Source organism: Homo sapiens, chromosome 4, assembly GCF_000001405.40.
Source record: "Homo sapiens chromosome 4, GRCh38.p14 Primary Assembly".
NCBI classification, from domain to species: Eukaryota; Metazoa; Chordata; class Mammalia; order Primates; family Hominidae; genus Homo; species Homo sapiens.
Window position 1 is genome coordinate 46,283,620 of NC_000004.12, and position 22,301 is coordinate 46,305,920.

The 22,301-nt window shown below is 36.6% G+C and overlaps 1 protein-coding gene across 20 annotated transcripts in view; it reads right to left on the bottom strand.

Annotated features, from left to right (window-relative positions):
- GABRA2 (gamma-aminobutyric acid type A receptor subunit alpha2) overlaps positions 1-22,301 on the bottom strand; it is a 146,753-nt gene that overhangs the window by 40,072 nt on the left and 84,380 nt on the right. For all 20 annotated transcript variants that reach the window (NM_001377154.1, NM_001377146.1, NM_001377145.1 and 17 more), the window contains 2 exons: positions 21,949-22,092; positions 19,841-19,993 (listed from right to left, as the gene is read on the bottom strand). In NM_001377154.1, coding sequence (NP_001364083.1) covers positions 19,841-19,993; positions 21,949-22,092 — 297 coding nt within the window. The remainder of the gene's footprint in view (positions 1-19,840; positions 19,994-21,948; positions 22,093-22,301) is intronic.

The window sequence follows — 22,301 nt, forward strand, 5'->3', positions numbered from 1 at the left end:
AAATTGATATAAAAGAAGTAGCTAATGTCTTCAAATGTACCTTGAATTCTGTATGAAACGAAATGCATTTGAACTCTCTGTACTCACCAAAAATCTACAGCCTAACAGATGTTATTGTTTGATTCGAGTTTCTTAGTTTTTCTGTTTGTTTGTTTTTTGAGACGGAGTCTCACTCTGTCACCCAGGCCGGAGTGCAGTGGCATGATCTCGGCTCACTGCCAGCTCCGCCTCCTGGGTTCATGCCATTCTCCTGCCTCAGCCTCCCTAGTAGCTGGGACTACAGGCACCCGCCACCACACCCGGCTAATTTTTTGTATTTTTAGTAGAGAAGGGGTTTCACCGTGTTAGCCAGGATGGTCTCCATCTCCTGACCTTGTGATCTGCCCACCTCAGCCTCCCAAAGTGCTGGGACTACAGGCATGAGCCACCAAGTCCGGCCTGATTTGAGTTCTTAATAGAAAAAAAAAAAAAAAAAACTCTGTTATATACTCAATATAATATTAAGAAAAAATACAAGTTCATAATTCATATAAACTTATCCAAAACTTAATAAGTGATTTTGCTTTAAATATAGAGATAATACTATTCATCACAATTATGTTTTTTATATAAGGTTCTTTAAAAAGTTCAGAAGCCATAACTTCACAAGTTAAGCTATATGTATGTATAACAAAATGAGGTTTGTATACTGTTAATGCATTGTCTAGTCTCAGGAACCTCGAAAGCATAACACCTAAGGTAAAAGTTTTCCCAAGTGCTTTCTTATATTGTCAACAGAGAGCAAAAATCTCACCATGAAGGGAGCTGGGCTTACTTTTTGTTCAAGGATGTAAATAGCACTTAGTAAGTATCTGTTGCTATTGAATGAATTGGATAAACAGAGAATATGAAAGGAGGCTTTTACTTTTGCAAAATACAAGGATATCTTTGAAAGAAATCAGGCTGGCTCCAAATATCCATGAGATAAATGAAATATACCAGAAAATGAATAGCTGAAACCCAATATAATGGAGCAAAGTCTCTAATATCAAGGCATACACATTCTAATTTTAACTTCTCTGCCTACTGTCTTATTTGCTCTGTTCTATTATTCTATTCACAGCATGAACGCCATAAAGACCTCAGAGGTTGAAAAATTTGACATCTGTCTTCTAGAGCATATTAATTTTTTAAAAAAAATTCATTAAAATTAATTAAAAAATTAAAGAGTAGTATTTTTTTTATTAAAACTTGTGTGGATTACCCACAACGTAAAGCTTTGGACTTAGGGGAAGTGCAGGAGATTTAATTATCTTTCATCAGGGAGAGGGTTTATGAACCTGTCAATTTAAAGTGAGAAATTTAAAGAAGGTAGAAACTTTTCTTAAGAAACTTCTATGCAATAATCCAATGATGCTGCTCACCCTCAAAAAAAAAAAAAAAAAAACCTCAGAAAACATTGAAGGATGAGGCTGGACAGTTTTCAAGCCTCATTCCAGGCAGGTCTTAGCATTTTTGTTTATCTTTGACTTTCCCCCTCCAATATACACATGCATACACATACGCTCATACAGAATATTTATTTATTTATTTACACAATATTTATTTACACAAAATAACTCATAGAATACTTTTATCACCTGACAACCTCAACTTACATAATGTATGATTTTTGAATCCTTAAAGTGATATTGTAAAGAACTCATACAAAATTTATATTCAAATAGTCTGGATTTTTTATTTTATATATATTTATCATCAATCTTTAAAAACATTTGTATGTTTATTACAGATAACCTGGCAGCCTTGACACTAAACACCTTCTGCTGATTGTAAGTTAAATATCTATTCATCTATTTATCTCAACTCTGTACTAGGATGGGTAGAGTCTTCTGTTGACTCCCTCCGAAATATACAACTATTTGACTTATACTAGGAAATTTCTGTCTTTATTTACCTCAATGCAGTATTTAATTTTCCTTATAACCTTTATTAAACAAATAATTCATTATTTTATTAGAGATTTGTCACATAGTTGCAAATTAATTTAGGTCTTTCTAAAATGTCACTTCTGGTCCTGTTTATTTCCTCTCTGTTTTTATTACTATATAACTATTCCCTGAAACTATTTTTCTGTATTATTTGTGCTCTGAAAATCATGAAATCTTGTTTTTTTTTAAGTCATCTGCATAAAATATTTATTTTCACATTTGGCCATACCTATGGTTTTGGTTTTGGTGCAATAACTTGCAAAGTTTTCAGTAGATATTTGAGAAGATTCTTCTTACTCCTGGGATGCCCTTGGAATATAAATTCAGTGCTATATTTTAAGCTCATGAATTTTAAAAATTATTTTACAGAAGAGAGATTCATATGACATACAATTAACTTATAAAATTCAATGCCATTTATCCATTCACAGTGTTCTGCAACCACTGTCTTTCTCTAGTTTCAAAACTTGTTTTTATTATCCCAGAAGGATACTCTGTCTCTATTAAGTAATCACTCTCCATTTATTCCACTCCTATCCACTGGCAACCACTGAACCATTTCTGTCTCTATGGATTTGTCTATCTGGATATTTCATATAAAGGAATCATATAATTTATGACCATTTTTGTCTGGCTTCTTTCACTAAGCATAGAATTTCTAAGGTTCATCCAGGTTGTAGCATATATCAGCACTTAATTCTCATTATGGATAAATAATATCATATTGTAAGTATATACTATATTTTGTACATTCGTTTGTTAATGAAAATTTGGATTGTTTCCACCTTTTGACCATTGAGAATAATGCTGCTGTAAACATCCATGTACATGTTTCTGTGTGAACATATATTTTTATTAATCTTGGATCTATATTTAGAGGTAGAATTGCAGGGTCTTACGGTAATTCTCTGTCTAACTTTGTAAGGAGCCATCAAATTTGTTCACAGTGGATGCAACATTTTAAATTATCACCAGCAATATACAAGGATTCCTATTTTTCTACAACCTTGACAATGATTACTATATATTTTTCAAATACTTATATAGCCAACCTAGTGGTTATGAAATGTATCACACTGTGGTTTTTGTTTGTAATTCCTTAATGACCAGTAGTATTGTACATAATTTCATGTGCTTATATGTCAGTTGTATACTTCCTTTTGTGAAAAGTCTGTTCAAGTCTTTGCCCAGTTTTTAGATTTAATTATTTATATTTTTGTTTATGAGTTAGAGCTCCTTATATCTTCTAGATATTAAACCCTAATCAGATATAAGATTTGCAAATAGATTTTAATATTTTGTAAGGTGTCTTTTTACATACTCAATAATGTTCTTTGATACACAAAAGTTTTTTCATGATTAAAAGAAACAATTTATTTATTTATTTCTGCTTGTGCTTTTGGTGTTAGATCTAAGAATTCATTCATTGTTAAATACAAGGTCATGAAGATTTATCCTTATTTTTTTCCTAATAGTTTTATATTTTATGTGCTATGTTGAGATGTCATATATTTCTGATCTATTTGTGTTAATTGTTGTGTCTTAAGTGAGGTAGGGGGTCCAACTTCATTCTTTTGAATTTGGCAGTTATCTGGCTATAACAGCATCATTTGATAAAGAGATTATTCTTTCCCCATTGAATAATTCTAACAACCCTGTTGAAAATCAGTTGGCAGGTAGCGTGATTCCTCCAGCTTTGTTCTTGTTTAGGATTTACTTGGCTATTCAGGCTCTTTTTTGGTTCTACATGAATTTAACCTGTATTCCCAGCTATCCATGCTCATGGATAAGAATGTCCAACAATGATTGACTGGATTAAGAAAATGTGGCACATATACACCATGGAATACTATGCAGCCATAAAAAATGATGAGTTCATGTCCTTTGTAGGGACATGGATGAAATTGGAAATCATCATTCTCAGTAAACTATCGCAAGAACAAAAAACCAAACACCGCATATTCTCACTCATAGGTGGGAATTGAACAATGAGATCACATGGACACAGGAAGGGGAACATCACACTCTGGGGACTGTTGTGGGGTGGGGGGAGGGGGGAGGGATAGCATTGGGAGATATACCTAATGATAGATGACGAGTTAGTGGGTGCAGCGCACCAGCATGGCACATGTATACGTATGTAACTAACCTGCACATTGTGCACATGTACCCTAAAATTTAAAGTATAATAATAATAAAAAAAAAGAAGAATCAGTATTGGTAAAATAGCTGTATTTGTCTATTTTCACACTGCTGATAAAGATATACCTGAGACTGGCCAATCTACAAAATAAAGAGGTTTAATGGACTTACAGTTCCACTTGGTTGTAGAGGCCTCACAATCATGGTGGAAGGCATGGAGGAGCAAGTCACATCTTACATGGATAGCAGTAGGCAAAGAGAGAGCTTATGCAGGGAAACACCCCCATATAAAACTGTCAGATCTCATGAGACTTATTCACTATCATGAGAACAGAATGAGAAACATCCACCCCCATAATTCAATCACCTCACACTGGTTTCCTCTCATGACATGTGGGAATTGCGGGAGTTACAATTCAAGATGAAATTTGAAAGGGGACACAGCCAAACCATATCAACGACCATACTACCCAAAGCAATCTTGGGCAATTTTGAATGGGAATATGTTCCTTATTTGGCTCTCGGCTTGACTGTTGTTGGGGTATAGAAATGTTAGTAATTTTTGCACATTAATTTTGTATCCTGAGAATTTGCTGAAGTTGTTTCTTAGCTTAAGGAGCTTTTGAGCTGAGACTATGAGGTTTTTCAGAAATAGGATGATGTCAACTGCAAACAGGCTTCGTACCTACACTACTTGATCTTCGACAAACCTGACAAAAATAAGCAATGGGAAAAGGATTCCCCATTAAATAAATTGTGCTAGGGTAATGGCTAGCCATATGCAGAAGATTGAAACTGTATCCCTTTCTTATACCATACACAAAAATTAACTCAAGATGGATCAAAGACTTAAATGGAAAACCCAAAACTATAAAAAGCCTGGAAGAGAATCTAGGTAATACCATTCTGGACATAAGAACAGGCAAAGAGTTCATGATGAAGATGATAAAAGCAATTGCAACAAAAGTAAAAATTGACAAATGGGATCTAATTGAACTAAAGAGCATCTTCACAGTAAAGAAAACTATCAACGGAGTGAAAAGAAAATTTGCAGAATGGGAGACAATTTTTGCAAACTATGCATCTGAAAAAGGTCTAACATCCAGCATCTATAAGGAACTTAAACAAATTTACAAGGAAAAAAAACAATGAAAGTAGACAAAAAACATGAACAGACACTTTTTGAAGGAAGGTGTACATGTAGCCAACAATCATATGAAAAAAACTTAACATCATTGATGATTAGAGAAATGAAAATCAAAATCACAATGAGATACCATCTGATACCAGTCAAAATGGCTATTATTAAAAAGACAAAAAAAAACAGATGCTGGCAGGATATGGAGAAAAAGGAAAGCTTATGCACTGTTGGTGTGAGTGTAAATTAGTTCAACCATTGTAGAATACAGTGTGGTGATTCCTTAAAGTCCTAAAAATAGAAATACCATTTGTCCCGTAAGCTCATTACTGGGTATATACCCAAAGGAATATAAATTATTCTATTGTAAAGATGCATGCCTGTGCATGTTCATTGCAGCACTAGTAACAATAGCAAAGACATGGAATCAACTTAAATGCCCACAAATGGTAGACTAAGAAAATGTGGTAAATATACACCATGGAATACTACGCAGCTATAAAAAAGAATGAGATCACGTCCTTTGCAGGAACATGGGTGGATCTGGAGGTCATTATACTTAGCAAATTAATGCAGGAATAGAAAACCAAACACTGCATATTCTCACTTATAAGTGGTAGCTAAATGATGAGGACACATGGACACATAGGGAGGAACAACACACACTGGGGCCTTTCCAAGGGTAGAGGGTGGGAGGAGGGAGAGGAACAGGAAAAAATAACGAATAGGTACTAGGCTTAATGCCTGGGTAATGAAATAATCTGCACAACAAACTCCCATGACACAAGTGTACCTGTATAACACACCTGCACTATTCCCCTGAACATAAATAAAAGTTACATTAAAAACTAAGAAAATCAATTGTCCGTACATGTTTGGGTTTGTTTCTGGGCTCTCAATTCTATTCCATTGATCTATGTGTCTGTTCGTATGCCAGCACCAGGCTGCTTTGATTACTGTAGCTTTGTAGTAGGTTGTCAAATTGGAAAGTGTTGAGTATACCAGTTTATTTTATTTATTTATTTATTTATTTATTTATTTTTATTTTTTTTTTTTTTTTGAGACTGAGTCGGGCTCTGTCGCCCAGGCTGGAGTGCGGTGGCGCGATCTCGGCTCACTGCAAGACCCGCCTCCCGGGTTCACGCCATTCTCCTGCCTCAGCCTCCAGAGTAGCTGGGATTACAGGCGCCCGCCACCGTGCCCGGCTCATTTTTTGTATTTTTTTTTTAGTAGAGACGGGGTTTCACCATGGTCTTGATCTCCTGACCTCGTGATCCGCCCGCCTCAGCCTCCCATAGTGCTGGGATTGCAGACGCCAGCCACCGCGCCCGGCCTGAGTATACCAGTTTTGTCTTAAATTTTCAATGTTGTTTAGGTTTTTTCAGGCTTCTTTTGATTCCATATAAATTTGAGAACTAGTTTTTGAATTTCTGAAAAAAAAAGCCATTGAATTTTCTACACGTATTAAACTGAATCTGTAGATCTCTTTTGAGATTATTGCTGTTTTAACAGTATTAAATCTTCCAATCTCTTAACGTAGAATGTCTATTTAATTAGATCTTTTATATTTTCTTTCAGCAATGATTTGTAGTTTTCAGTGGACAAGTCTTTCACCTTTTTGGTTAAATTTAGTTTTAGGAATTTTATTCTTTGGGATATTATTATAAATGATATTATTTTCTTAAATTTCTTTTGAATTTTTCACTTCTGATGTAAAGAATCAAACTGATTTTTGTGCATTGATCTTGCATTCTACAATATCGTTAAAATTGTTTTTAAGCTCTAGTAATTTTTACTTTGGTTTATTTTGGCATATATATAATACAGGAATACAGTTTCAAGGAATAATTATATAGTAATGAAAAACATAAAGGAAATTAATGGGAGAGAAGTGACCTTTCAGAAATGTCACTTCTCTAAATTAATTTGTGACTATGTGACAAATTCCTGATAAAATGTGAGTTTTGTGTTTTTTGGCATTTGTTATTCCTTTTGAAATATTACATTAATGTGGTATAGTATATTGATTGCCTTTCTTATGTTGATCCACCCTTGTTTATCTAAGTTCCACTGGTCTTGGTGTATAATCTTTTAATGTGTGGTTGGATTTACATTGCTTGTGTTTTGTTAAGGAATTTTGCATCTATATTCATAATGGATATTAGTATATAGTTTTCTTCAGGTATCTTTGTCTGTTTTTGGTATGATGGTAACTCTAGTCACACAGAATGAGTTAGGAAGTGTTCTTTAAACTTCGATTTTTTGGAGGAGTTTGGAGATGATTGGTGTTAATTCTTCTAAAAATATTTGGTAGAATTAAACAAATATTAGCCCTCTGGTTCTAGACTTGTTGTTGTTGGAAGGTTTTTGCTTACTTATGGAAATTCTCCACTTATAATAGGTCTGTTGAGTTTTTCTATACTTTTTAGTCAGGATTGTTAATTTGTGTTTTTCTAGGAGTGTGCCCATTACTAGGAATGTATTTTTCTAGGAATGTGTCCAAGATTATTGTGATGGTTGTTACTGAGTGTCAACTTGACTGGATTGAAGGATGCAAAGTATTGATCCTGGGTGCGTCTGTGAGGGTGTTGCCAAAGGAGATTAACATTTGAGTCAGTGGGCTGGGAAAGGCAGACCTACCATTAATCTAGGTAGGCAAGATCTAATCAACTGCCAGCATGGCTGGATTAAAAAGCAGGCAGAAAAACGTGAAAAGGCTAGCCTGGCTTAGCCTCCCAGCCTATATATTTCGCCCAGGCTGAACACTGTCTGCCCTCAAATTTCGCACCCCAAGTTCTTCAGCTTTGGGTCTCAGACTGGCTTCATTGCTCCTCAGCTTGCAGACAGCCTATTGTGTGACCTTCTGACTTGTGATCATGTGAGTTAATACTATTAATAAACACACACATATATATATATATACATATACATATATATGTGTATATATATATCATCTCCTATTAGTTCTGTCCCTCTAGAGAACCCTGACTAATACAGACTTTTGTGCCAGGAGTGTTTACAGAGAAATAGAATATTAAGGATGCAGTTCTTTCATTGGTTTTCGGATTTCTAGAGTTGACTGTTTAATATAATTAGACCTCAAAATGCTGAGGACTATACTTCTAATAGTATGGAGAACACTGATGATCCTTGGCATGAACTGTTTAGAGAGTTACGCCAAATGAGTGCATTTGACACTCCTGATTCATGGCTAGAGAGAGGCAAGGACTTTAGGGATTCTACACATAATACCTTTGACTAAATGTGGAGAACCAAGAAACATAAAGAAGTTGGTTGGCTGCTCCTAAGTTCACTGGACAAAGTGATGAAAAACAAATGATGAACTCAGGGATTCTAACTCCAGGCTTCACAAGCAGATACTGAGCCTCAAATCCGCTAAGATTGCCCTGAGTGAGAGTCTTATCTCCTGTAGACAAAGAGCTGAAATGGTGAAAAATCAGACACAAGCTCTTATCATGCAAGTGGCTGACCTGCAACGAAAGGTGCATGTGCAGCCTCACCAGGTGTCTACTGTTAAAGTGAGGACATTAATTAGAAAAGAATGGGACACTACAACTTGGAATGAAGATGTGTAGGAGGACCCTGAGGAAGCTGAGAACACTGAGCTTGTAAACTCTGATGAATGGGATAATGGTGGAAGAAACAGATTTGGATCAGGCTGAATTTGTCGATTTGGGCGCACTAAGTAGAGATTCTGCATTTAATGTTGCAGCTCAGGGAGTTAAAAAAGGTTCTAAGAGTTTATTTGATTGTTTAGCTGAAATATAAGTTAAAAGATGGCCCACTGTGAGTGAGCTGGAAATGCCTGATCTCTCTTGGTTTAATGCAGAGGAAGGGATCCAAAGGCTTAGGGAGATTGGGATGGTGGAGTGGATTACTCACTTTAGACCTACTCATCCCAGCTGGGAGGGCCTAGAAGACATACCCTTGACCAATGCTTTGCAAAATAGATTTGTGAGGGCAGCACCTCCATCTTTGAAGAGCCCTGTAATTGCTCTTCTCTGTATGTCAGATCTAACAGTGACAATTGCAGTCACTCAACTACAAAATTTAAATATAATGGGAATAATTGGATCCCAAGTTGGCAGGGGTAAAGTAGTGGCACTCAACCCTCAAAGGCAAGGTGGGTGGAGCTACTGTAATGGACAGCAGAGGCACAGCAGCTATCAGAATAATCTGAATCGTGTAGAGCTCTGGCATTGGCTAATTAATCATGGTGACTCTATAAGTGAAATTTATAGAAAGCCTACTGCATTCCTATTTAGTTTATATAAGCAGAAAACTTTCAAGTTGAATGGACAAAAGACTAATTTGGAATTATAAAAACAGAGAATCATGGTGCCTCAATCAGTTTCCAGACTTAAGCCAGTTTACAGAGCCAGAACCCCTTGAATGAAGGGGGGTCCCCTTGAGAAGGGACCCCACCACACTACCGACAATTCATGCCATTAATCTTTCTCCCATTCTTCCCCAAGGAGACCTTTTATCAGGGGAGCTGTGCACTGGAGAAAGGCAAATAATCAGACATTTCAGGGACTACTGGACACTGGCTCTGAGTTGACGTTGATTCCAGAGGATCCAAAACGTCACTGTGGTCCTCCAGATAAAGTAGGGGCTTATGGAGGTCAGGGAATTAATGGAGTTTTAACTGATGTCTGACTACAGTTGGTCCAGTCAGGCCCTGGACTCATCCTGTGGTCATTTCTCTATTGCCAGAATGTGTAATTGGCACAGACATACTTTGCAGCTGGCAGAACCCGCACATTGGCTCCCTGACTGGTAGGGTGAACACTATTATGGTGGAAAAGACGAAATGTAAGCCATTAGAGCTGCCTCTACCTAGAAAAATGTAAATCAAAAACAATATCGCATCCCTGGAGGAACTGCTGAGATTAGTGCCACCATCAAGGACTTGAAAAATGCAGGGGTGGTGACTTTCACCACATCCCCATTCAAGTCTCCTATTTGGCCTGTGCAGAAGACAGATGGATCTTGGAGAATGACAGTGGATTATCATAAGCTTAACTAAGTGATGACTCCAATTGCAGCTGCTGTACCAGATGTGGTTTCATTGCTTGAACAAATTAACACATCTCCTGGTACCTGGTATGCAGCCATTGACTCAGCAAATGCCTTTTTCTCCATTCTTGTCCATAAGGCCCACCAGAAGCAATTTGCCTTCAGCTGGCAAGGCCAGCAACACCCCTTTACTTTCCTACATCAGGGGTATATCAACTCTCTGGCTATGTGTCATAATCTTATTCAGACAGAAACTAATCACTTTGGCTTCCACAAGATATCACACTGGTCCATTATATTGATTACACTATGCTGATTGCAACCAGCAACCAAGAAGTAGCAAATACACTGAACTTGCTTGCATGCCAGAGGATGAAAAATAAATCCAACTAAAATTCAGGGCACTTCTACCTCAGTAAAATTTCTAGGGGTCCAGTATTTTGAGATATTCCTTCTAAGGTGAAGGACAAGTTGCTGCATTTGGCCCCTCCTACAACCAAGAAAGAGGCACATTGCTCAGTGGACCTATTTAGATTTTGGAGACAACACATTCCTCATTTAGGTGTGTCACTCCATCCCATTTATTGAGTGACCTGAAAGGCTGCCAGTTTTGAGTGGCATCCAGAACAGAAGAAGGGTCTGCAACAGGTCCAGGCTGCTGTGTAAGCTGCTCTGCCACTTGGGCCATATGACCTAGCAGATCCAATGATGCTTGAGGTGTCAGGGGCAGATACGGATGCTGTTTGGAGCCTCTGGCAGACCCCCATAGGTGAACCCCAATGGACATCTCTAAGATTTTGGAGAAAAGCCCCTGCCATCTTCTGCAGATAACTACTCTTTTTTTTTGAGAGACAGCTCTTGGCCCATTACTGGGCTTTGGTAGAACATGAACATTCGACTATGGGTCATCAATTCACCATGCAACCTGAACTATAATGAACCGGGTGCTTTCTGACCCATCTAACCATAAACTGGGTCATGCACAGCAGCACTCGATCATCAAATGGAAGTGATATGCATGTGATCAGGCTCAAGCTGGTCCTGAAGGCACAAGTAAATTACATGAGGAAGTGACTCAAATGCCTATGGTCTCCACTCCTGCTACCCTGCCTTCTCTCTGCACCGATGGCCTCATGGGGAGTTCCCTATGATCAGTTGACAAAGGAAGAGAAGACTTAGGCCTGGTTCACAGATGGTTCTGCATGATATGCAGGCACCACTTAAAAGTGGACAGCTGCAGCACTGCAGCCCAAGTTCTAGGACATCCCTGAAGGACGGCAGAGAAGGGAGATCTTTCCAGCGGGCAGAACTTCGAACTGTGCATCTGGTTGTGCACTTTGCATGGAAGGAAAACTGGCCAGATGTGCAATTATATACTGATTCATAGGCTGTAGCTAATGGTTTGGCTGGATGGTCAAGGACTTGGAAGAAGCATGATTGGAAAATTGGTGACAAAGAAATTTGAGGAAGAAGTATGTGGATGGACCCCTCTGAGTGGTTAAAAACTGTGAAGATATTTTTATCCCAAGTGAGTGCTCACCAATGGGTGACCTCAGCAGAAGAGGACTTTAATAATGAAGTGGATATGATGATCTTGTCTATGGACACCACCCAGCCTCTTTCCTCAGCCACCCCTGTCATTGCCCAATGGGTCCATGGACAATGTGGCCATGGTGGCAGGGATGGAGCTTATGCATGGGCTCAGCAACATGGACTTCCACTCACCAAGGCTGACCTGGCTACAGCCACTGCTGGGTACCCGATTTGCCAGCAGCAGAGACTAGCTCTGAGCCCTCGATGTGGCACCATTCCTCGGGGTGATCAGCCCACCTACCTGGTGGCAGTTTGATTTTAATGGACCTCTTCCATCATGGAAAGGGCAGATGTTTGTTCTCACTTGAATGGACACTTATGCCGGATATGGGTTTGCCTATCCTGCACGCAATGCTTCTGCCAAGACTATCATCTATGGACTCATAGAATGCCTTATCCACCATTATGGTATTCCACACAGCATTGTCTCTCACCAAAGCACTCACTTTATGGCTAAATAAGTGAGACAGTGGGTTCATGCTCATGGAATTCATTGTTTATACCATGTTCCCCATCATCCTGAAGCAGCTGGATTGATAGAATGGTGGAATGACCTTTTGAAGTCACAATTACAAAGCCAACTAGGTGACAATACTTTGCAGGGCTGGGGCAAAGTTCTCCAGAAGGCCGTGTATGCTCTGAATCAGCATCTCATATATGATACTGTTTTGCCTATAGCCAGGATTCGTAGGTCCAGGATCAAGGGGTGGAAGTAGAAGTGGCACCACTCACCATCACTCCTAGTGATCCATTAGCAAAATTTTTGCTTCCTGTTCCCGTGACATTATGTTCTGCTGGCCTAGAGATCTTAGTTCCAGAGGGAGGAATGCTGGCACCAGAGGAAACATCAATGATTCCTTTGAACTAGAAGTTAAGATTGCCACCTGGACACTTTGGGTTCCTGCTATCTTTAAGTCAACAGAATAAGAAGGGAGGTACATTATTGGCTGGGGTCTATCAAGATGAAATCAGTCTACTGCTCCATAGTAGAGGTAAGGAAGAGCATGCATGTAATACAGCAGATCCATTATGGTGTCTCTTAATATTACCATGCCCTGTGATTAAGGTCAATGGGAAATTATAACAACCCAATCCAGGACTACAAATGGCCCAGCCACTTCAGGAATGAAGGTTTGGATTACTCTATCAGGGGGAAAAAAAAAAAGAAAAAAAAAAACCTGCTGAGGTGCTTGCTGAAGGCAAAGGAAATACAGGATGGGTAGTAGAAGAAGGTAGTCATCAATACCAACTATGACCACTTGGCCAGTTGCAGACACAAGGACTTAATTGTCATGACCATTTCCTCTTTCGTTTGTTAAAAATGTTTGTGCATGTATACACCTGTACAAAGAAAATGTCTTCATTTTGTTCTCATTTTCGTTTTTCATGCTGTACAAGATTTATTGACCTCATATTGTTAACTTGATGTATTGGCATTTGGGTTGGGGATTGGTGCATTTCCGGTTGTACGAAAGATAGTTGTATTACCTTAGGTGTAATTATGACCTTATTATTGTCTTTATTTGAAGACTATGTATGATCTCAGGAGATGTGTATTGCATCAAGTTGACAAACGGTGGACTTGTGATGGTTAATACTGAGTGTCAACTTGATTGGATTGAAGGATGCAAAGTATTGATCCTGGGTGTGTCCGTTAGGGTGTTGCCAAAGGAGATTAACATTTGATTCAGTGGACTGGGAGAGTCAGATCCACCCTTAATATGGGAAGAAACCATCTAATCAGCTGCCAGTGCAGCCAGAATATAAAGCAGGCAAAAAAACGTGGAAAGATTAGACTGGCTTAGCCTCCTAGCCTACATCTTTCTCCTGTGCTGGATGCTTCCTGTCCTCAAACATCAGACTCCAAGTTCTTCAGCTTTGGGACTCAGACTGGCTCTCCTTGCTCCTCAGCTTGCAGTTGGCCTATTGTGGGACCTTGTGTTCATGTGAGTTAATACTACTTAATAAAATCCCATATATATATATATATATATATATATATATATATATATATGGAGAACTGATATATACACTCTAGAGAACCCTAATACGATTATCTAATTTGTTGGTGTGATATCATTATTAATAATCCCTAGTAATGTCCCTACTTTCTGATTTTATTTTTTGAATTTTCTCTCTTTTTCTGAGGTAGTCTAACTAAAGATTTGTCAATTCTGCAGATATTTTCTAAGAACCAACCTTTGGTCTTGTTGATGACATTTTCTTTTATTCTACATTTCATTTACCTCTGCTCTAATCTTTATTATTTCATTTCTTCTACTGTCTTTGGGTTTAGTTTGTCCTTATGTTTTTATTCCTTTAGAGTGTTATTTGAGATCTTCCATATTTTTTAATGTAGGCATTTATAGCTACAAATTTTCCTTTGAGCTTTGACTTCACTGCATCTCGTAAGTTTTGGTATGGTGTGTTTTCATTTTAATTTCCCTCAAGGTATTTTATAATTTCCCATGTGATTTATTATTTAATCCATTTGTTGTTTAAGAGTGTGTTGTCTGATTTCCACATATTGGTAAAATTTCCAGTTTTCATTCTACAGTTATTTCTAGCTTTATTCCAGTGTGTTGAGAGAAGAGGCTTTGTATTATTTCAACCTTCTAAAATTTATTGAGAATTCCTTATAGCCTAATATCAGTTCTATTCTAACAAATGTTTCATGGTTCATTTGAGAGGAATGTGTAATTGCTGTTTTTGCGTTGTAATTATTCTTCTTTCACTGTCTATTCTGTGTTTTCTTGTTTCCCAATTTTACTATTCCAAGATTATCTTTTTGTAGTTGTGCTCATCTTTTTATTAGTGTTCTTTGTTTACATTTCCTATGTGTTCTTTTAAAACTCTTAACATATATTTTTCTTACAGAGACAATCTTTACAGTTCTGTATATGCATGGGTGTATGTGGGCTTTGTTTTGTTTTATTGTACTCACAATAGTGGAAATGCATTTGATGATGCTTAGAATTGAACTTGTTCTAATTTTTTGATATCGTTCATTTAGAGAGTTTAATTTGGAGAGATTGTCCATTGCTATAGATCACTTTATTGTTCCTCCACCCACTTATCCGTTATTTATTTATCATATATTTTATAGCACTTAGAATGTCCCAGGCTCTATGTTAATAACTGTGTGTAGAAACTGTCAGTCTGAAGAATGAGAAATGCATGTATGAAAAATTACCATAATGAAATTTAATTTGTGCCATGATATAGGCATTTATAAAACATCATAAGAGAACAATGGAAGGGGAGCTTTTTTAGAAATGTTTAGGGCACTAACAGGTGAAGATATTAGTGTATTAATATATTGTATGTGACTCACATTGAAAACTGTGTAGCAACTAAAATTGTAGACCATTATTATCTTGGAATTTTCTATAAAATTCTAGTATAATACCTAGGTTTAATTGCTAAATATAGTGAGGGCATATTATGTCTTAAATGCACAGCTTTTAAAAGATCATATATTATACATATATTATATGATTATTAGAATCATATATTTATGATTATTAGAATTATATTCTATATAATTCAATTTTGACTCATAAAAATATCACCTTTTTGTTCACTGAGCTTCAAATATTCTGTAATAAAATGGAATAAATAGATCATAAGCATATGTAATATTAGTACAAAGGAAACATGAATGACATTGTAATAACAAGCAAATGTTTATAACCCTAAGTTAAATTTGGTTTGGCAGACATATCCTAATTTAAAATTTTTATTCCTGAATTTTAAAAAAATTTATATAGGTGCGTACACTTTTTAAAAATTGCTCTTTTTACTATCCTCTTCATTCACTCCTCTTCTTACTCCTTTATTTCTGATGCATGTTGTGTTTGTTTAGTTCTTTCTAAAATTTTCCCATCAAATGTGGTCTGCAAAACAGTTTATTATTAATCTTACACAACTTGGTTGCAATTTTAACTCACTATAGTATCTTGAGGTTATTTACCATTTGAATCATGTTTATAGTTAGTGGCATAGTCTCTAAGCAAACTTGTTCCTCCAATAGTGTAATAATAAAAAGCATATTTCCAAGATTGAAAAAAAAATGTGTTTGTTAAACAGCCAGACAAAAATTTGGAAAGAGGAAAGTACCAACAAAGTCTGCTTTGCGTTGCTTATTACATGTTGGAGAATTGGGTTTCTTTCTTTTTTTTTTTTTTTTGTCTACCCAACCACATTACAAGTATTTTCTTTAGGTACCTGTTCATCTGAAATTCTTCCCTCTTCTATAGATATGTTCAATTTCCTTACTCTTTCTTGATCCCTCCCCCTTAAAGGACAGTCATGACAGCAGTATATGTAGTTTAATGAACTTAAGCCTTGGAGTAAAGCTCTGCTTTAAGGTCTTAGACGAGATACCTAAAACTGTAGAGTCTCGTTTCTTTCCTCCTTAGAAAAGAGATATTACAATCTACTTCATTGGAAAAATAATAAGTAAAGAAGTATGCAACATGAATAGCATGTGGCTTATTATAAAGTAGTTCCCCATGTTGTTCAAATTTTCATGTTAATAATTATGTATTAATAATAGTAATAATGATAACAATGACTCACCTTTCTTTATAGCTGTCTTAATCTTTTTCTTCCAAATTTATTATATGCTCAGCTTTTTTCCTTTCTCATTTCTTATTTCCATTTCAATCCTATTTCACTCCAAAGCAACTTTACTAATTTAATTCCTGACCATCAGTAACCTTCTACTAGTCAAATTCATTCAATGCATTTTAGACTTATTGGTATACATTTGATATCATATATTCAGTATGGATCTGTGTGTGTGTGCGCGCGCGTTTTGAGATGTTGAAATTAACATCTTTTCCTTTTAGAAAATTGTCATCCCCTGGTTTCCTTCCTTATTTTCTGGTCATTCCAATTAGTTCCTTTTTATTCTGCAATTTTAGGATTTTTAAAGATTCTGTCCTCTAATCTCATATTCACCCACCTAATTTTTCTTGGAGACAAGTTCTAGACTTATAAGTTCTATCATCTTGTCACTTACGATTGTCATATTTATCAATAGTTTCTTCTATTCATCTGTGTTCCAGATACTTATTTCTATTGTCTACTGAACATCAAATTGATACTATAAGGAACATCAAAATACACATAACTCAAACTACAATCAGTTTTCCTATTTGCCCTCTGTCTTCATTTTTTATTTTATTAATAGCAACACTATCCACTTAAATTATCCAAGAAAAATTCTACATGTTAGCCTAAATTATTCTTTTTTCTATAATTGTTATATATGTTCACCAAATCCATTGATACCCTCCCTCAAACATCTTTTGATCCTTTTCTTTCTTCCTTTTTATACTGTCTTCTTTTAAAATAGCCTAATAATTTCTCATGTGAACTATTTTAGTAGCCTCTTAACTTTTCCCCTACCTCTTGTAATTTATATTTTTCAATTCATCCTCTGCAAATATGTCATATCTTTCTAGAATACAAGTAGGATCAGATTAATAATAAGAATAATAGCTTTAGTTACGCAAGATAAATTAGATCTGGAGATCTACTATATAGCATGTGACTATAGCTAACAATGTATTGTCTTCTTAAAATTTGCAGTGAGGGTAGATCTTATGTTAAGTATCCTTACCCTCCCTCCCTTCACTCAACTCAATAATAATAAAGAAGGTGGGAAAAAATTTGAGGAGGTAGTGAATACATCTATACCTTTGATGGTGGTGATAGTTTCACAGATGTATTCTATTCCCCAAATTCAAAGAGTTGTATACATTAAATATGTACAGATTTTTACATGTCAATCAACCTCAACAAAATGGTTTTGAAAAAGAACGGCTAACAATTATATACCATGTATTAAATGCTAGGCATTGTTCTGACAGCTTTAGACATGTTATGGTCCAAAACACCATAGTGACTTGCTATAACCCGTTAAGATAAAAGTACATTTTATTACGATGACCTATAAGGCCCTTCTCATCTAGGCCTCAAACTATTTTCTATCTATGTCTCCACTGCCACTGAAACAGCTCCCTTTCAATGAACATGCCATTGTCTTTCATCCCTTAATGTCACTGCACAATCTATTCTTTTGAGCTAGGATTCTTGCCCCATCTCATCTGCCTGGGAAAGTCCTACTCATCTTCCAAGTCTCAGCTCAAATGGTAACTCAGCCACTTACTCAGCTCTAGGAAGGATCCATGCTGTTGTTTTCTATAACTTGTCTACGCCTCTTTTACAAGACCTTTACCTTATTACCCTTCCTGGTTATATGGTGCCATCCCCTATACCAAGTAATTGAATTCACTGACTATATTTTACCATATTTGCATCTCTAGGGCCTGGTACAGTATCTAACAAAATAAGTCCTCAATAAAACTTTCTTAAATGAATGAGTGGACCAAACACAAAAAGGTAATCTACTTTGTTACAAAACGTGCTTGGCCCAATTCATATATCTATATATCCAAAAAGCAGTAACCAAATTCCTCTGCATAGTTTCAATCAAGAAAATGAAGTTTGTTATTAAATAAACTCATGGAATGAATAATATACCACTCCTTTTCATTTTATTCTTTTTTTTTTTTGAGACATAGTCTTTCTCTGTCACTCAGGCTGGAGTGCAACGGCATGATCATAGCTCACGATAGCCTCAATCTCCCACGTTCAAGCGATCCTCCTGCCTCAGCCTCCCAAGTAGTGGCAACTATAGGTGTGCCACCAAGCTTGGCTAATTATTTTTAGAGAGACAGGGTCTTGCTATATTGCCCAGACTGGTCTCCAACTCCTGGTCTCAAGAGATCCTCCCTTCTTGGCCTCCAACGTGCTAGGACTACAGGCATGAGGCATTACACTAACCTCTCTCTCTCATTTAAAGTACTAATATCTTTAATAATCTCAAAACAAAACCAAAATAAACATATAAAGTCTAGCTATATGGAATTCCATTACTCTAAATTTAAAAATTCCCCTCCCTAGTTTTATTCAAGAAAATCAAACACTCTAGTAAAAGTGAATGAGGTCTCTCTTCCTCCCTCCCTTTCTACCTGTTTCTAACTTAAAGTTTTAAGATCATCACTCTTCATCTAAAAACAACAGAAAAATATAGAAAGCCTAGAAATATGGTAGTGAGACTATAAATTAAAACTTCTAAGAAAATTCTCCTTATAGGGGGCTCCAAAATGCTATTCTAGGGAAAATACATTTTGAATAATCCCCTCCCGTCTTTCTTACCATACCTTTTTCCACCTGTTCTTCTCCTGGCTTATATGTGCCAAGCTGCTCACATGTAAATATGATGGGCTACTGCACTTCTCCTGCTTTGCTCAAACTGCTCTCTCTGCCTAGAGAACCCTCTTTCTTGTTCTTCTTGGGAGGTACCTATTCACTAGCATTTGGTTCACAGCCATCTCCTCCTAAAGACTTTTATAAACTTTCCCCCAACTTTCTTCCTTCAGCCCCTATTTTACCTTGTGCTGACTTTTGTAATGGTGACTAGAACACATCATTGTATTTCTTGGCCTATAAATCTGTCTAAATGCCTCTTTAAGGCAGGCCCCATGCCTTATTTATTTCTGTATCCTTAGTGCTTATTGAAAATACATAGTAGGTGTTTGATCATAGCAACAATAAAGAGCTATCATTTTTTGAGCAAAAAAAAAAAAGAAAATTCACCTTGTGTAAATATAGTACAGACAAATGTTGAACAGCAGTATGATTTAACAGAAAGAAGACTAAGTGTGTTTTAAGAATATTTGAGTACTTTTCTTTCCTTATATCCCTTATTAACAGTGTAGCACTATGTTACCACTCTGAGCCTACTTCTTCACCTATAAGGCAAAAACAATACTCCCCGCCCCACCTACTACAAATAATTAGTTTGAGGATCAAGAGAGATAATGTTTTTGAAAGTATGCTATGAAACATAATGTGCTGTACTGCAAAGTGTGTATTCACTCACCAAACACAGTTCTTGCAGGCACAGATTCTCTGTTAAGCCAGAATGAAACTTGGGAGAGAATGACAGTCATGATGCAAGGCAGATAGGTTTGAATCACAAAATACCCAATTTTTCTTTTCAGGTGGAAATGAGCTGTCATTACAGTATATTCACCTGGAAGAAAAATTTAAGAAGCTCAAGGAGTAATAGTCAATACTTTGAACATTTAGGAAATAGAAGGGATCAGAGGTAGAACAAAAACTGATTTTTTAAAAAATAATATATCACATACATGTCAGGAAATTTATATCACTTTTAAAAGCCTCCTTAGCATAGCATGAGTGTTTAGAAGAAAATTTTAGTATCAAGAAACTTGCAGCTCACGTCCCATGATATTGTACAGATTAAGTACCTCTTATGTAAAATACGTGGAACTAGAAGTGTTTCAGGGTTTGGATTTTTCAGATTTTGGAAAATTTACATTATTACAAATTGAGCATCCCTAATCAAAATATATAAAATCTAACATGCTCTAATGAGCATCTCCTTTGAGCATCATGTCAGCACTCAAAAAGGTTTTTTTGTTTTTTTTTAATTTGGAGCATTTTGGATTTTAGATTTTCAAATTAGAGATGTTCAATTTGTATTTGTTTTCCTCTCTAAGTCATGCTTATTGACCAAAGGAATTCAGAATTCATAAATGCTCTCTGCCAACAGTTTATTTTACTTGGTTAGGCCCTTCATTCCCACTGGTATAAACCTCGTCTCTGTTTTTGATTGTTCTAACTCAGTGCTCTCTGGCTCCAAAAGTATTGATGTCTGGCCACATCTACAAGACTGATCTTCTGGCCCACATTTTCCCACTTTTAACCCTGTTGCCAATTCTGAATTTCTCACTGTTATATGTCTGTGCTAATTTGCTTCAGTCACTTCTATCTAATCCTCATATCTACCTTCCTTTCTGCTCCCTGGGTTTTAATTATTGCCAAAATGTAAGATAATTAGTCCACACAGCTGGGTTTTTTTGTTTTTGTTTTTTTGTCTTTTAATATTTATTTATTTATTATTTTTTAAAGGAAGGCGGCCTTCAGAGAGGGAATCAGCTTTCCACACAGGCCTGTAGTAATTATCAACATCAAAAGTTGAATAGTCATAAATTATCTAGAATAGGGGTGAAAAAATAGAAAACTAAAGAAATTATCACTTGTTGGCCGGGCGCACTGGCTCACGTCTGTAATCCCAGCACTTTGGGAGGCCGAGGCAGGCTGATCACGAGGTCAGGAGATCGAGACCATCCTGGCCAACAAAGTGAAACCCCGTCTCTACTAAAAATACAAAAATTAGCTCAGCGTGGTGGTGCGCCTATAGTCCCAGCTACTCGGGAGGCTGAGGCAGGAGATCACTTGAACCCAGGAAGTGGAGGTTGCAGTGAGCCCAGATCGTGCCACTGCACTCCAGCCTGGTGACAGAGCAAGACTCTGTCTCAAAAAAAAAAAAAAAAAAAATCATTTGTCAGAAGGTAAAAATTAAAATTTACTACTCTGAGAAGACACATATGTTGCAAATACATAGTGCATTTTAGGCCAGTGTTTCTCAAACTTCAATGCAACTATTAATCTTTGAATCTTGTTAAAATGTAGATTCTGATTTAATAAGGAGTGGGGCCTAAGATTCCAAATGTCTAAAAAGCTGGAAACCATCATTCTCAGCAAACTATCGCAAGGACAAAAAACCAAACACCACATGTTCTCACTCATAGGTGGGAATTGAACAATGAGAACACATGGACACAGGAAGGGGAACATCACACACTGGGGCCTGTTGTGGGGTGGGGGGAGGGGGGAGGGATAGCATTAGGAGATATATCTAATATTAAATGACGAGTTGATGTGTGCAGCACACCAACATGGCACATGTATACATATGTAACTAACCTGCGCATTGTGCACATGTACCCTAAAACTTAAAGTATAATTAAAAAAAAAAAAAACAAGCTCCCAAGCACAGCCTATGCTGCTAGTTCTTGGACCTCAAGAGCAAAAGATTTTAAGCAATCTGACACACTTCCAAGTCCTTTAACCTATTAATATTCTTAGGCACCAGCTTTTTTAAAGACTAATTTTACTAACCTGTACTGGATTTAATTGTCTCCTTTCCGATTGATTGGCCCAGCAGGTCATATTGATTTAACCTAGAGCCATCAGGAGCAACCTGTACTGAATCAGATGCATTGTAAGTCCAAATATAAGTGACCTCTGAAGTTGTATATGCATCTATAGGAAATCAGAAAAAATATTTTAAGCATTTTAGTAAGAACCATCAATCTAGTGCTACACGAACGGTTGTGTATTTCATACAATCACTATATACTTTCAATATTAATAGTTAAACATCACATTTAGGGCAAAAATGTCTCATTTGAATTTACTTCAATATGAGAGTTATGAAGTAGACCAAAAGAGATGATCATGACCATGACAGT